Source organism: Homo sapiens, chromosome 9 (assembly GCF_000001405.40).
Source record: "Homo sapiens chromosome 9, GRCh38.p14 Primary Assembly".
NCBI lineage: Eukaryota > Metazoa > Chordata > Mammalia > Primates > Hominidae > Homo > Homo sapiens.
The window spans coordinates 92948575-92962762 of record NC_000009.12 but is presented as its reverse complement, the minus strand read 5'-3'; the positions used below and the strand labels follow the sequence as shown (position 1 = coordinate 92962762).

The 14188-nt window shown below is 48.8% G+C and overlaps 1 protein-coding gene across 1 annotated transcript in view, besides 1 other annotated feature; it reads right to left on the bottom strand.

The window, feature by feature from the left end:
* The window catches only part of FGD3 (FYVE, RhoGEF and PH domain containing 3), an 88711-nt gene that overhangs the window by 73471 nt on the left and 1052 nt on the right, over positions 1 to 14188 (bottom strand). The gene's annotated exons all lie outside the window — the stretch shown is intronic.
* Positions 8584 to 8683: an enhancer, noted in NCBI's record as "active region_28606". NCBI's record gives its function as "activates an Ori minimal core promoter by ATAC-STARR-seq in GM12878 lymphoblastoid cells {active_cell/tissue: GM12878}" and the evidence as "EXISTENCE:reporter gene assay evidence [ECO:0000049][PMID:35858748]".

Here is a 14188-nt window from a genome sequence, read left to right as displayed (position 1 = left end):
TCACCATGTTAGCCAGGCTGGTCTCAACTCCTGACCTCAGGTGATCTGTCTGCCTCGGCCTCCTAAAGTGCTGGGATTACAGGCATGAGCCACCATGCCCGGACACTGATGAACTTCTTGAAGACTCCATTCTTCCTCCATGAAATGGAGAAAATGTGGGATGCATGTGGTGGAGTTTTTGTGAGAAATGAGGGCTTTGCCTATGGTAGGTACTCAAGGGATCCCAGCCACCAACATCTGAATCACCGTTGCTGTGCTGTCAATGCCGGGGCCCTGGAGTCTTGGCTCCTGCCCCCTGAGGAGGCAGCCCTGGACCATCCAGATGCTTCCAGCCCAGGCCAGGAAGGACAGCAGTGCCTGCCACCACCACCTGGTTCAGCCTTCTCCTCTACAGAGGTCCCCTGTGCCAGAAGGCCAGCAGTGGGGTCCCATTAGGACCAGGGACACAAACCCAGGTACACTAGGAATACACAACTGTCGTCCTAAGAGGGTCATGATAAATTCTGGCAGCACAGCAGCAGGCTGGCTGTGGTGACCTGAAAGGTGAGGGGTTGTGGTAGGTAAGGAACAAAAAGAGGATGGGGAGGGGTTTGTGGCTTGAAAGTAGAACTGAGGCCAAGTGTCCTGTCGTCCCTGGTTGGGGTGAGTGGGAGGAAGTGGTGCCTCCACCTGGGAGTGACATCATTCAAAAAGAAACATGTTTTTGGCAGCCTGCCCCCCAATGGCCCAGTGATCATCAAATGCTGGTTATCTGCCTCTCCCACTGTGAATAGAGCTGACCTGTGGACACTACTGTACAATAGGACATTACAGAAATGATGAAGGTGACTTCCAAGGCCAGGCCATACATAACACTGCAGCTTTTGCCTTTCCTTGCTGAATCACTCACTGTGGGGGAGCTGGCTGCCATGTTATGAGGATGCTCAAGCAGCCCTGCAGAGAGGCCCATGCGGAGAGGAACTAAGGCCCCAGGCCAACAGCCAGCAACAACTTGTGATGTGTGAATGAGTCACCTTGAAAATGATCCTCAGTTTCAGTCAGGCCTTCAGATGACACTGCAGCCCCAGCCACCATCTGTAGCCTCATGAGAGGTCCCCAAGCCATAGCCAAGCCACACCCCAATACTGACCCATCAAAACTAAAGAGTTAAGTGTTTCCTATTGTTTTAAAGTGATGTAGTATTTTCATCATGAAAAAGGGCAAGGGTGACCTGAAGTTGGGGAATGGTGGGATCAGCCCACAGTGGAGAAGCAACCACCAGGAAGTATCAACACATATTCCAATTTCTCTGACCAATTATTTCACTCATGTTCCAATGGCTCAAATGAGTCCTCTACCCCGGAGGACTCCTGGTGACCATGGAGGGCTCCTGGGGACCACAGTGACAATCCATTGGTGCTATTCAATCTCAAAGCCCTTGAATAACTTTGTGGAGTCAGAGGCTCTGCAGAGAAGGCCCTGTGCCTCCAGTGTCCCTTAGCCTGTCCCTCAAGGGTGCTGCTCATCCTCCCCCAGGTGGCTCACTTCATGAGGGGTGGGTGCCTCTGATGAGAAAGGGGGTTTCCCCAGGACTCCTGCTTTGTCCCAGGGACCCCCAGTCCTGTCTTCCAGGAAAGCTGGCCATGGCCAGGGAGAGGAGCTCTGAAGTCCAGGACCCAGAGGGGCCTGTGTGGGACCACAGAGGCCAGGATGGAGAGAGCCTATGGGCAGAGAACTGTCAGCCAGGGGGAGTGCCCGCCCACCAGGAGAGAGGCCCAGGGGGAGCACCCCACTAGGAGAGAGGCCTGGAAGAGCACCCACTCACCAGGAGAGAGCCCCAGGGGGAGCACCCAATCACCAGGAGAGAGGCCTGGGTGGAGGGCCCACCCACCAGGAGAGAGGCCCGGGGGGATCACCCACTGGGAGAGAGGCCAAGGGGGAACACCCACTTACCAGGAGGGAAGCCCAGGGGCTCTACCCTGTTCAGCAGCCCCTGGCCTAATTTCTCTCAGCTGGCCTAGGGGCTCTTCCCTGGTGGATGAGTGCTCTCCCTGGGCCTCTGTCCTGGTGGGTGAGTGCTCCCCATCTGACTACAAGGAACAGAGCCCCCACAACTCTCCCATTGCCAGCACTGCACTATGACTAAGCCTGGGACTGTTACGGCACCCAGCTGGCCCTGGCTGTTACACCCCATTCCTTCCCAGGGTTGCTACCAGTTTATCCGCTGTGGGGGAAAGTGTCCATCTGACGTCTAGTAGTGACACCTGGGGTGCATTTTTTCAGGGAAGCCATCTTACCCATGGTTATTCTGCAGCCTTTGAATGGAAGGTTTAAGGAGGAAGGCAGCTCATATTTACCAAGCACACAGCATAAGGCAAACTCTGCTCTGGGCTGGTTTATGGGTGACATGAGGACGTGGGGATAGGAGGGGTCCTCATGGGGGAATGAGGACATGGGGATGGGGGACTTGGGGACACGAGGGATATGGAGACATGCAGACATGCAGACATGACAACAGGACGTAGAGGACATGAGGATATGGGCATTTTGGGACATGAGAGCATGGGAAGTGGAGGTCATGGAGACATGGGGATGTGAGGATAAGTGGACATGGGAACCTGAAGACATAGGGACATGAAGACATGAAGACACAGGGACATGACATGAGAAAATGGGGAAAGAGGACATGGAAACATGAAGAATATGGAGATATGGGGCATGAGGACATGGAGACATGGGGATATGGAGACATGGGAACACAGGGACTCGGGGACGTGAGGGATACGGGGACATGAAGAATATGGAGATGTGGAGGTTATGGGGACATGAGGAATGAGAACACGCAGACATGAGGAATGTGGAGCCACATGGACATAGAGAAATGAGGGCATGGGGGTACAGGGGACGTGGGGACGTGTGGTCTTGGAAACATGGGGGCATGGGGACACAAGGACATGGGACATGCAGACATAAGGGACACTCGCTTCAGCCATCGACCTTCCAAAACACCCACACAAATGAGCAAGGACATTTTATACAGTCTTATTAGGGCTGATTTTTTTTTTTTTTTTTTTTTTGAGACTGAGTTTCCCTCTGTTGCCCAGGCTGAAATGCACTGGACCGATCATGACTCACTGTAGCCTCGACCTCCTGTGCTCGAGGGATCCTCCCATCTCAGCCTCCTGAGTATCTGGGACCACAGGTGTGTGGCACTATGCCTGGCTAAGTTTTTATTATTTGCAGAGACGGACTCTGGCTATGTTTCCCAGGCTGACCTTGAACTCCCAGGCTCAAGCGATCCTTCTACCTCAGCCCTGCAAAGTGCTGGGATTTACAGGCATGAGCCACCCACCGAGCCTTGCCCAATGTCAGAGATGTGCTGAAGGTCCAACAACAGAGAACTAGTTCAACCAATTACCCTATTTCAAGACTTACTATAGTAATTATATTTTATTAACTAAAATAATTTTATTATAGTAATTATTTTCATTAATAAAATAATTACTATAATACAATAAATTTTGACTGGGCGCAGTGGTTCACGCATATAATCCCAGCACTTTGGGAGGCCAAGGTGGGCGGATTGCCTGAGGTCAGGAGTTCACGACCAGCCTGGGCAGCACGGTGAAACCCCGTCTCCACTAAAAATACAAAAAATTAGCCAGGCATGGCGGCAGGCACCTGTAGTCCCAGCTACTGGAGAGGCTAAGGCAGGAGAATTGCTTGAACCTGGGAGGTGGAGGTTGCAGTGAGCCAAGATCATGCCACTGCACTCCAGCCTGGGCGACAGAGCGAGACTCCATTTCAAAACTAAATAAATAATAAAATAAAATAAATTTCAAAAGCAAGACAATGTGGTATTGACATAAGGATAAATCAATGGAAATCAATGAACTAATAGATTTTCATTCATTTGTTCAATTGATTTTCAATGAAGGTGCCAGTACATATCAATAGGGAAAGATACGTCCTTTCAACAAATAGTAATGGAACATTTAGATAGCCGTACCAAAATACAAACCTTGACTGCTTACTCACACTATACACAGAAAATAGCTAGAAATGAATCCAAACCTTAATTGTGAATGCTAAAACTGTAAAGCTTCTAAAAACACATAGGTGAAAATATTCATGAATTTGTGGTTGGTAATGATTTCTTAGAGTATAAAAGGCACTAAGCCACACACAAAAAAAACTTTATAAACAACTTCTTCAACCTGAAAATATGTTTCATCAACATAGAAAACTTCTGCTTATCAAAAGGCACCATTAGGAACGTGAAAAGGCCAGCCACATATAGACTCCAAGTGATAATGATGTGTCAGTGCAGGTTCATCAATTGTAACAAATGTCTCCTCTGGGGAGGATGTTGATAAAGAGAGTGTCTCTGAATATGTGGGGTCAGGGAATATATGGGAAATCTCTGTACTTTTCTCTCAATTTTCCTGTGAATGTAAAACTGCTATAAAAAAATTAAGTCTTTAAGGCCGGGCAAGGTGGCTCATGCCTGTAATCTCAGCACTTTGGAAGGCCAAGGAGGGTGGGTCACCTGAAGTCAGGAGTTGGAGACCAGCCTGGCCAATATAGAGAAACCCTGTCTCTACTAAAAATACAAAAATTACCTGGGCATGGTGGTGCGCACCTGTAATCCCAGCTACTCGGGAGACTGAGACAGGAGAATCACTTGAACCTGGGAGGTGGAGGTTGCAGTGAGCCGAGATCATGCCACTGCACTCCAGCCTGGGTGGCAGAATGAGACCCTGTCTCAAAAAAAAAAAAAATTAAATATTTTTTAAAAATTTCAAAGGCGGCCGGGTGCAGTGGCCTGTATTCCCACTACTTTGGGAGGCTGAGGTGGGCAGATCACCTGAGGTCGGGAGTTCAAGACCAGGCTGGCCTACATAGTGAAACTTCATCTCTACAAAAATACAAAAATTAGCTGGGCATAGTGGTGCACGCCTGTACTCCCAACTACTCTGGAGGCTGAGGCAGGAGAATCACTTGAACCTGGGAAGTGGAGGCTGCAGTGAGCAGAGATCATGCTACTGCTGCACTCCAGCCTGGGCAACAGAGCGAGACTCTGTCTCAAAAAAAAAAAAAAAAAAAGAAAAGAAAATTTCAAAGACAAATCACAGATTGGGAGAAAACATTTGCAATACATATATCTGATAAAAGATTTGTGTCCAGAATACAAAAAGATTCCTACAAATCAATGAAAAAAAAAGACAAACGATTCCATTTTTAAAATGAGAAAAAAAAACTGGAACATATACTTGACTTAAGTTACCTAAATAGACAATAAGTATATGAGCTGGTGGGCAACACTGCCTGCCATCAGGGAAACTAAAAACCACACTGAGGAATGATTACAGCCCCATCTGAACCGCTACAGTGAAAAAGACTGACAATGCCACCTGCTGGCAAGGATGTGGAGCAAACGTAACTCTCAGTGTGAAACTCTCATGCTGGTGGAAGCAGAAAATTGTACAACCACTTTGGAAAACTGTTTGGCATTTTCTCACAAAGTTAAATATACACCTTCTCTATGACCCAGCAATTGCACTTCTAGGTATCTACCCAAGAGGAAAGAAAACATCTGTCCACACAAAGACCTGTACACAAATGTGCAGAACAGCTGTATTCATAACTCAAAGCTGGAAACAATTTCAAGTGTCTGACAACTGGAGAATGCGTAATAAGCAAAGTGTGGTGCAGCCATAATATGGATGGAACAGGATCCAGCAATAAAAAGGAGTAAGCCACTGATATAACAATGATGTAGAGCTGGGTATGGTGGCATGTGCCTGTAGTCCCAACTACTCAGAGGCTGAGGCAGGAGACTGCTTGAGCCCCGGAGGTCAAGGTTGCAGTGAGCTATCATTGCACCACTGCACTCCAGACTGGGAGACAGAGCAAGGCTCTGTCTTCAAAAAAAAAAAAAAAAAGAAAGAAAGCAATTATATGGATGGATCTCAAAGCCAGACACAAAAGACTGTTAGATGAAGTTCAAAGACAGGCAGAACTAGTTTCTGAAGTCAGAACAGAGGTGCCCTGTGGTACTCTGGAAGGCAGTGTCTTAGTTTATCCTGGTTATTATAACAAAGTCCCACTGGCTAGGTGGCTGAAAAGTCAAAAATTTACTTTCTCACATTCCAGGAGGCTGGAACTCTGAGATCAAGGTGTTGGCAGGGTTGGTTTCTCCTGAGGCCTCTCTCCCTGGCTTGTAGGCAGCCATCATATCCTTGTGTCCTCACGTGGTTGTCCCTCTGTGAGTCCTCAGCTCTTCTTTTTGGACACCAGTCATGACAGATCAGCACCCACTCTCAGCACCTCATTTTAACTTTGTTACCTCTTTAAAGGCCCTGTCTCCAACACAGTTACATTCGGAGGTACTGGGGATTAGGGCTTCAACATGTATTTTGCAGGGACATAGTCAGGCCCATAATAGTCCCCCAAAGTGAGAACAAGGCAAGGATGCCTGCTGTCACCACTCTTATTCAACACAGTGGAGAAGGTTCTAGCCAGTGCAATAAAACAAGAACAGAAACGAAAATGCATGCTGAGCAGAAAGGAAGAAATAAAATTGTCCATGTTTGCAAATGACATGACTGTCTACAAAGAAAATGCCAAGAAGCGAAAACAAACAAACAAACAAACAAACAAAACTCCCAGAACTAGTATGTGAATTTAGCAAGGTCAGGGATACAAAATCAAGTCACAAAAATCACTTTAATTTGTATATACTGGCAATGAACATGCAGACATGGAAATGAAAACTATGTTGTCATTTACACATTAACTGTGGTACATCCATGCCACACAACAGCACTCAGCAATAACAAGGAAACACTATTGACACACACAGCAGCCTAGATGTGTGATGATTCCCCTGCATGAATTCCCTTAGAGGAATCCCAAGGGATTATGCTGGTGGAAGAAAGATAATTTCAAAAGATTACATGCTATATGACTCCGTTTATATAACATTCTCAAAATGACAAAATTGTAGAAACAGAGAACAGATTGGCTGCTGTCAGGGGCAGGCAGGGAGCAGGTGGACATCAAAGGGCCACAGGAGGCTCCCTGTGCTGGTGCTGCTCTGTGTCTTGACTGTACCAGTGTCAAGGTCCGAGCTATGATATGGTCCTATATCGTTTTGCAAGCTGTTACCACTGGGAAATCCCGGGTAAAGGCCCACAGTATCTCTGCATTATCTCTTATGTGTCTATACAGTCATTTCAAAATAAAAAGTTTAATTAAACAACTAGCTAGTGGCATCCCTTGGCTCTATTTATTTTTATTTTTATTTTTGAGAGGGAGTTTTGCTCTCTTTGCCCAGGCTGCCTCAGCCTCCCGGGTAGCTGGGATTACAGGCATGCACCACCATGCCTGGCTAATTTTGTATTTTTTTAGTAGAGATGGGGTTTCTCCATGTTGGTCAGGCTGGTCTCGAACTCCTGACCTCAGGTGATCCGCCCACCTCAGCCTCCCAAAGTGCTGGGATTACAGGTGTGAGCCACCGTGCCTGGCCATCCCTTGCCTCTTAAGAGAAGCAGTGAGCCTACAAGTGACTCACAGTAAAGCTGGAATCCTCAGCGTCATCTCAGAGTTGGCCCGGCTGGAACCTGGCCCTTGCAGCCTCCCAGCCTCATTCCTGGCCTCTACAATGATTGGGAGCACCTCTCCCTACCCTCACGGGCCTTGCCTCTCACGTCTGTTCCCTCTGCTCCTTGGCCACCTGACCACACCAGCTTTAGAGCTTCCCTCTGGGTGCAGCTGGCTCTCGGACACATAGACACCATATCGCCATCACTCTCCAGGCAGACCGTGAGTTCCATGAATGCAGGCAACGATGCTCCAAGCATCCTCTAATTTCTCCTTTTCCAGAAGACAAAGCTGTGGTTCAGAGAGGTGGAGGAAATGTCAAGGCCACGATACTCAGAGCCTAGCAAGATGCAGCTGAGGTGGCTGGTCTCTAGGACACAGCCCAAGGTGCAGGACAAAGGGGAACCAGGAGGCCAGGGCTCAGGGGAGTAAAGAGCTTGGAAGTAAGAGTCCCATTCAATGACCAGGACACTGAGGTTCAGAGAGGCCAAAGTGCGGTCACTCAGTCAGTCAACAACCATTTGCTGAGCGGCTCCTAGGACACAAGAATCCTTGGGAGATGGCCCCTGAGGAAGGAGCAGCTCTGGCCTGCAGAGACCCTCATGGCTGCCACTTCCTGTGCAAGGTGACCCCGGCCCCTGCCCTTCTGCTCACTTATTAGGGTCACAGCCAGTCACTTGGGCCACACGGGCACAGGACTCAGAGCCCGGCTGCTTCTCCAATCACCTGCCTGCTTTTGGGAACCGAGAACCACAGCTCTTGGATCCTTCCCAGAACCCTTGAGACCCAAGGATTGGACAAAGTGCCCATGTTGAGTTACTCTCATTCTTCTGACAAGACAGGGGAAAGCCACAAAAATACCACACTAGCTAGGGCAGGAAGTGGGTGGGACCAGAGTAGTCATTCCTGTGTGGCTTTGGATGGGGTCCAAGGGTGGTGCACCTTTGTCAGCGTTCAGGCTCCAAGACAAATCCTACTCAACATGTGACCTAACAATAGACAAGACCCAAGGAAATGAAAGCTCCTGGCAGAGAGGCTGTGTGAAACCCTGAGAGTGACCGTCTCTGGGTGGTGAGCTTCCGGGAATTTTCATTTGCTTCTTGATGCTTCTCAGTAACATATAAATTTCTACGTAGAACATTATATTTGCATTTGGGAGGAAAGCCAACCTGTTTAAAAATACAAGAATCGAAGTTGTTCATTGGAGATTCCCAGCCGGGAACTATTGCCCAGTGAAAGCCAGCTGTCTCCATGTCTGTTTACATATGGAAAATTTAATTTCTACTTAGCTGTCCTAAATCTCTCTAATGAAAGATGTGGTTGAGAAACCAAAAAAAGAAGGGATACTGAGTGTAATTCTGCTTTCTGAAAACACATTTTTTGCAAAACATTTTCTAGGTTACTTTAAATTGAAATTACATTTGGTCCAAAGGCAGACAATATTTCCTAAACCTTGGCACTGCCCTTAACTTTACCTGCCTTCCTCCCAGGCAGGCAGCTGGGAGAGTGGACAAGCCCAGATCTGGAACTGTGAGGCCCGTGTGCAGGTGACATTGTGTGAGCCCCTTCACCCCAACATGGGGAAAATATCCCTGGACACCAAGTTCCTGGGGGCTCCCTGGGAAAATGTGTGTAAAATGCTACAGTGTGAGCAGCGAGAAGCTGGCTAGTCATCACTCACTATACCTCATTTCTTAAAAGTTGCTTTAAAAATATGTGATGCTTTAGTCATCTTGGCCAAAGTGGAGAGGCAAGCCCAGCTTCAAACTCTTAGACCAAGTGGCATTTTGAGAGCTTTCCACTCAGGAGACGTAATTACAGAGCGGCTCTGGCAGTTGGCTATGATAACATTAGAGCCTGAAGTGGAAGCGATTGTTTCTTATCCTTAACAAAGAGCCCTGATGTGTCTATACTTACACAAAAGTGCTGCATCTGGTGCATTTTTTTTTTACCCTGTAGGAAAAAATTATCAATGTGTAAATAGAGAATGATATACATTAAAAAATAAGGCAATAAAGGGGTGGCCACGCCCCCACTCAATCAGGCCCTGAATAAAGGATAATTCCAGCATTGTTATGCGGCAGCTGCACAGCGTCAACCAGAAACACTCATATGCCCAGGGAGGTGCGGGTCCTTTCCTATGCACTCCATGTCCAATCCAGACATCACATTCTGCCAAGTGGTATTCTCACAATCACTTGGATCCACCGTTTACTATTCAATCCTTAGTCTAAGCTCCTGATCAACCAGAGGCTATTCAGAATGCAACAACACATGTTTATTTAGGTTTCCTTTAAGGGCAGATGCTGAGCTGGAGGACCTCGGGGGAAGAAGTAATCAGAAAGCTTAGAACTGGAGGCACCTAAGGGTGATCACAGCAGCACTATTCTAAAGAAGAAAAAAGGGAAAGAATGAAGGAAGGAGGAAAAAAGGGAAGGAAAGAGAAAAGGAAGGAAGGAGAGAAAGAAGGAAAGAGAGAAAGAAGGGAGGGAGTGAGGAAGGAAGAGAAGGAGAAAGAGGGGGAAGGAGGGAGAGATTTGAGCCACACTTGCTCAACCTTCATAATGTTAAGGAGGGCCTTAGGATTGGAGGGTAGAGGATGGGATGGGGGGGCCTTCAGCTTTAAAACAGTTTGATTTTCGGGCCGGGCGCGGTGGCTCACACCTGTAATCCCAGCACTTTGGAAGGGCGAGGCAGGCGGATCACGAGGTCAGGAGATCAAGACCATCCTGGCTAACACGGTGAAACCCCGTCTCTACTAAAAAATACAAAAAATTAGCCGGGCGTGGTGGCGGGTGCCTGTAGTCCCAGCTACTTGGGAGGTTGAGGCAGGAGAATGGGGTGAAGCCAGGAAGCGGAGCTTGCAGTGAGCCGAGATCGTGCCACTGCACTCCAGCCCGGGCGACAGAGCAAGACTCTATCTCCAAAAAAAAAAAAAAAAAAAATTGACTTTCAACAATGATATGTGTATATATCCTTTGCATACTTGAAAATAAACAGAGATGTGCTCTGGTCACCCCCTGCATTGACTCACATGAGTTGGAAACCAGGGATATTAAGAAGCCCTTGGGGAGTCAAGTGTGGTCTCTAATGGATGAATTAGGGCCACGAATTATTCCTTATGCAGCATAGTTTGTTTTGCAGACAAAATATTTTGGAACTTGTTTAAAAGCAAGATCAGGGAGAGGGTCAAAAAACCAGATGCCCCTTTTGCCACTGAAGATCTTAGACCCTCAGATTTTGTCTGCCCTGGAGCTGGGGGACAGAGGCATCCTCTCTGCAGCCGTAAAGTCAGGGTCTTCTGACTGAGATCCCCCCAAGCCTACTTTACACCTATTTTGCATGGTCAAAGACCAGCAGTTTTATTCATTCAGTTTACCACCTCCGCAGCTACATGAATCCTTCAGGCACCAGTGTTTCAAGGACCAAGAACATGAGTGTGCTCAGACACAACCCTACATCTGGCAAAATCTACACAACTTTCATTAATTAATTAATTTTTTTGAGACAGGGTCTCGCTCTGTCACCCAGGCTAGAGTGCAGTGGCACAATCACAGCTCACTGCAGCCTCAACCTCTGGGTTCAAGCAATCCTCCCACCTCAGTCTCCCGAGTAGCTGGGACTACAGGCGCATGCCACCACACCTGGCTTATTTGTGTATTTTTTGCAGACAAGGATTTCACAATGTTGCCCAGCCTGGTCTTGAACTCCTGGACTCAAGCCATCCACCCATCTCGGCCTCTCAAAGTGTTGGGATTATAGGCATGAGCCATCCTGTTTGGCTACACAACTTTATTTTAGGAAGTTACAAGTTCCACGTAAGACACATTTCAATGAAAAATTCTACCTTATGGGTTGTGTCTAGCTGGCATATTCTGAGAAGCAAAGTAATTTACCCAGAGAAGACAAGCTAGGAATACTTAGAATTACTGGATATCAGTAACTAGAAAAATAAAAGGCCTTCTTCATGTATTCATTCAACAAGCACATATTAGTATGCTATATACCATTTTCCTTCTAAAAGCCCCACATTCCTTAAAGGCCGGTTGGAATTCCCTCATGAACACACTAGACCTAGAGCGGGACCCCCAGAGCAACTTGGTGTCTCAGCAGCCCCTGGCCACAACCCTCAGCCTGCAGGGCTCCCACCACCTCTACCACCTTTCTCCTAGGCACCCTTGCCTCTCCTCATTCTCTTCAGGGCCCAAGCAGGCCAGGGGCAGCCAGATCTTGGGGAGAAGCCAATCTCCAGTGCTGGACGCAGGGGACGTGGCACAACAAGGACCCTGGCTCCATTTCCATCTGCCTAGGCAGAAAGGGCAGCACTGTCCCTGAGCCGTCCCCAGGTCACTTAGGGGCTGTCGTCCACAGATTCCTCCTGGGTGGACTCATCTGCACTGGATTTAATTCTTTAGACCAAATGTCACCAGGCACCCTAGCCACAGACTACCACAGCCTCCACAGTTCATGAGGGCCCTACCAGGGGTCAGAAGGGACTCGGGCTACATTTGCCAGCCTTGAATGAACCCCTCCTGCCCCCTTCTTTCCCCACCATCAGTCAGGGACCCAGGAGTTTTGGTCCAAGTCCAGAATCCGCACGGAACAGTCCTGGCCTCTGTGAGCAAGGACTGCCAAGCTGCGTGGGGCTGGAGCCTCCCCAGTGTCCTCAGACTTCGTCATCCCCATGACAAGTTCTGTCTGGCAAATCCAACCTGCTCTTCCTGCTCTTACTTTTTACCCATTTGCTTTTTTTTTTTTTTGAGATGGAATCTTGCTCTGTCGCCCAGGCTGGAGTGTGTAGTGGCCCGATCTCAGCTCACTGCAACCTCTGCCTCCCGGGTTCAAGCCATTCTCCTGCCTCAGCCTCCTGAGTAGCTGGGACTACAAGCACCCGCCACCATGCCCGGCTAATTTTTTGTATTTTTAGTAGAGGCGGGTTTTCACCGTCTTAGCCAGGATGGTCTCGATCTCCTGACCTCGTGATCCACCTGCCTCAGCCTCCCAAAGTGCTGGGATTACAGGCGTAAGCCACTGTGCCTGGCCCCACCTGCTTCTTTTTATCCTTTGCACTCTATGCTGAACCAGATCCTTCCTGGAATAACAGGTGAACAGATGAAGGGAGGAGAAAAAGAAAAAAAAAAAGAGGAAGGAAAGAAGGGAGGGGGGAAGGAAGGGAGGAAAAGGAGGGAGTAGGAGGAAAAGGAGAAAACAGAGAAGAGAAAGGGAGTTGATGAATTAGCTGGTTGGTTAGTTGGTCAGCTGTTGGTTAGTTGGTTGGTTAGTTGAGCCTCTGCCGGTAGGCACAGGGCTCCTTGGCCAGCAGGACAGGGAGAGCTCCTCAGAGGGTTGTGGTGGGAGAAGGGAGCCCCACCCCTCACTGGCACACTCGAACAGGGGTGTTGTGGAGGAAGCCTGAGTCTCCCCTGTCCTTCCTGGCACATTTCTGCACACACAAGCACCTCGCCTCTTCTTGGACCACACAGATACACTCAGGGCCAAGAGCCGCTGCCTGGTGGCCCTGGGCAACCTGAGACTGTGGAGCTATGGCTACCACCCAAACCCATCCTGTCCCTGAGGGTGGGACCCTCAAGGAAGGCTGCTGGATATCCCTCGTTGGGATGTCCTGGAGAATGACGACACCCCAAGACTGAACTGATGCTGCAGGACTGAGTCAGCACTGTTGCTCATGAGCTTGGGAAGGGACACGCAGGGATGATGAGGAAATGGGCCCACATGTCCCCATAGCCAGAGTGGACGGACGCCCCGCTGCAGACTGGCAGGCGCTTGTCAGACACTGTCATGGATGACAGGCTTCCATATAGGTCACACACAGCAAAAATGCAGTCCTCAGCTCTTTCACCCAACAGCAAGCCACCAGTGGGTGACACATAGCCCCATTTACAAATGGAGAAACTGAGGCACTGGTCCACGGGATGAGGCCAGATTTCCTTCCACACTGCTCCCCTTTCCAGGCACCAGTCCCTCAGCACATGTGCTTCATGGTGACAGGAGGATGCATCCTGCTCTGACCTCCCCCAGATCATGTGTGACCCCCTCTCTGGGGTGTCCAGAGAAAAGCCAGTACCACGATGGGCTTGAAGAAGCCTGCAGTCCCCTAGGAGCCCAACTAAAGGCCCAAGGGATGAGCTGTCATAACCCTCATTTTGCGGATAAGGAAACTGAGGCCTCCAGTCCCAGCCCAACCTCTGCCCAGTGAGTCCTGAGGTTTGAGGATGAGGAGGGATACTTGGGACACAGCCCAATCCCAGAACAGATGGTGTGAGCTGCTAACTCTCAGTGAATGAGCTGGGACCCTGGGCACAACACAGAGAAGGCGTTGTGTCCAAAGCCAGCTGGCCTTCAGCTGACCACCCCTGCCCCAACACAAGGGCCTGGGAAGAAGAGCTATGGACAGTGGCCAGAAAGCAGCCAGGTTTCCCTGCTGTTGAGAAATGTTTAACCTTTCTGCACAATATGAAAAAGAGGGTCAACCTCACTGGGGCTGGAGTTTGCTGTCATCCTAATAGTTCACAACATTAAATCCTGTGCACACACATACATAGATGTAACACACACACACGCACTCATTGTTTACACTTCAAAC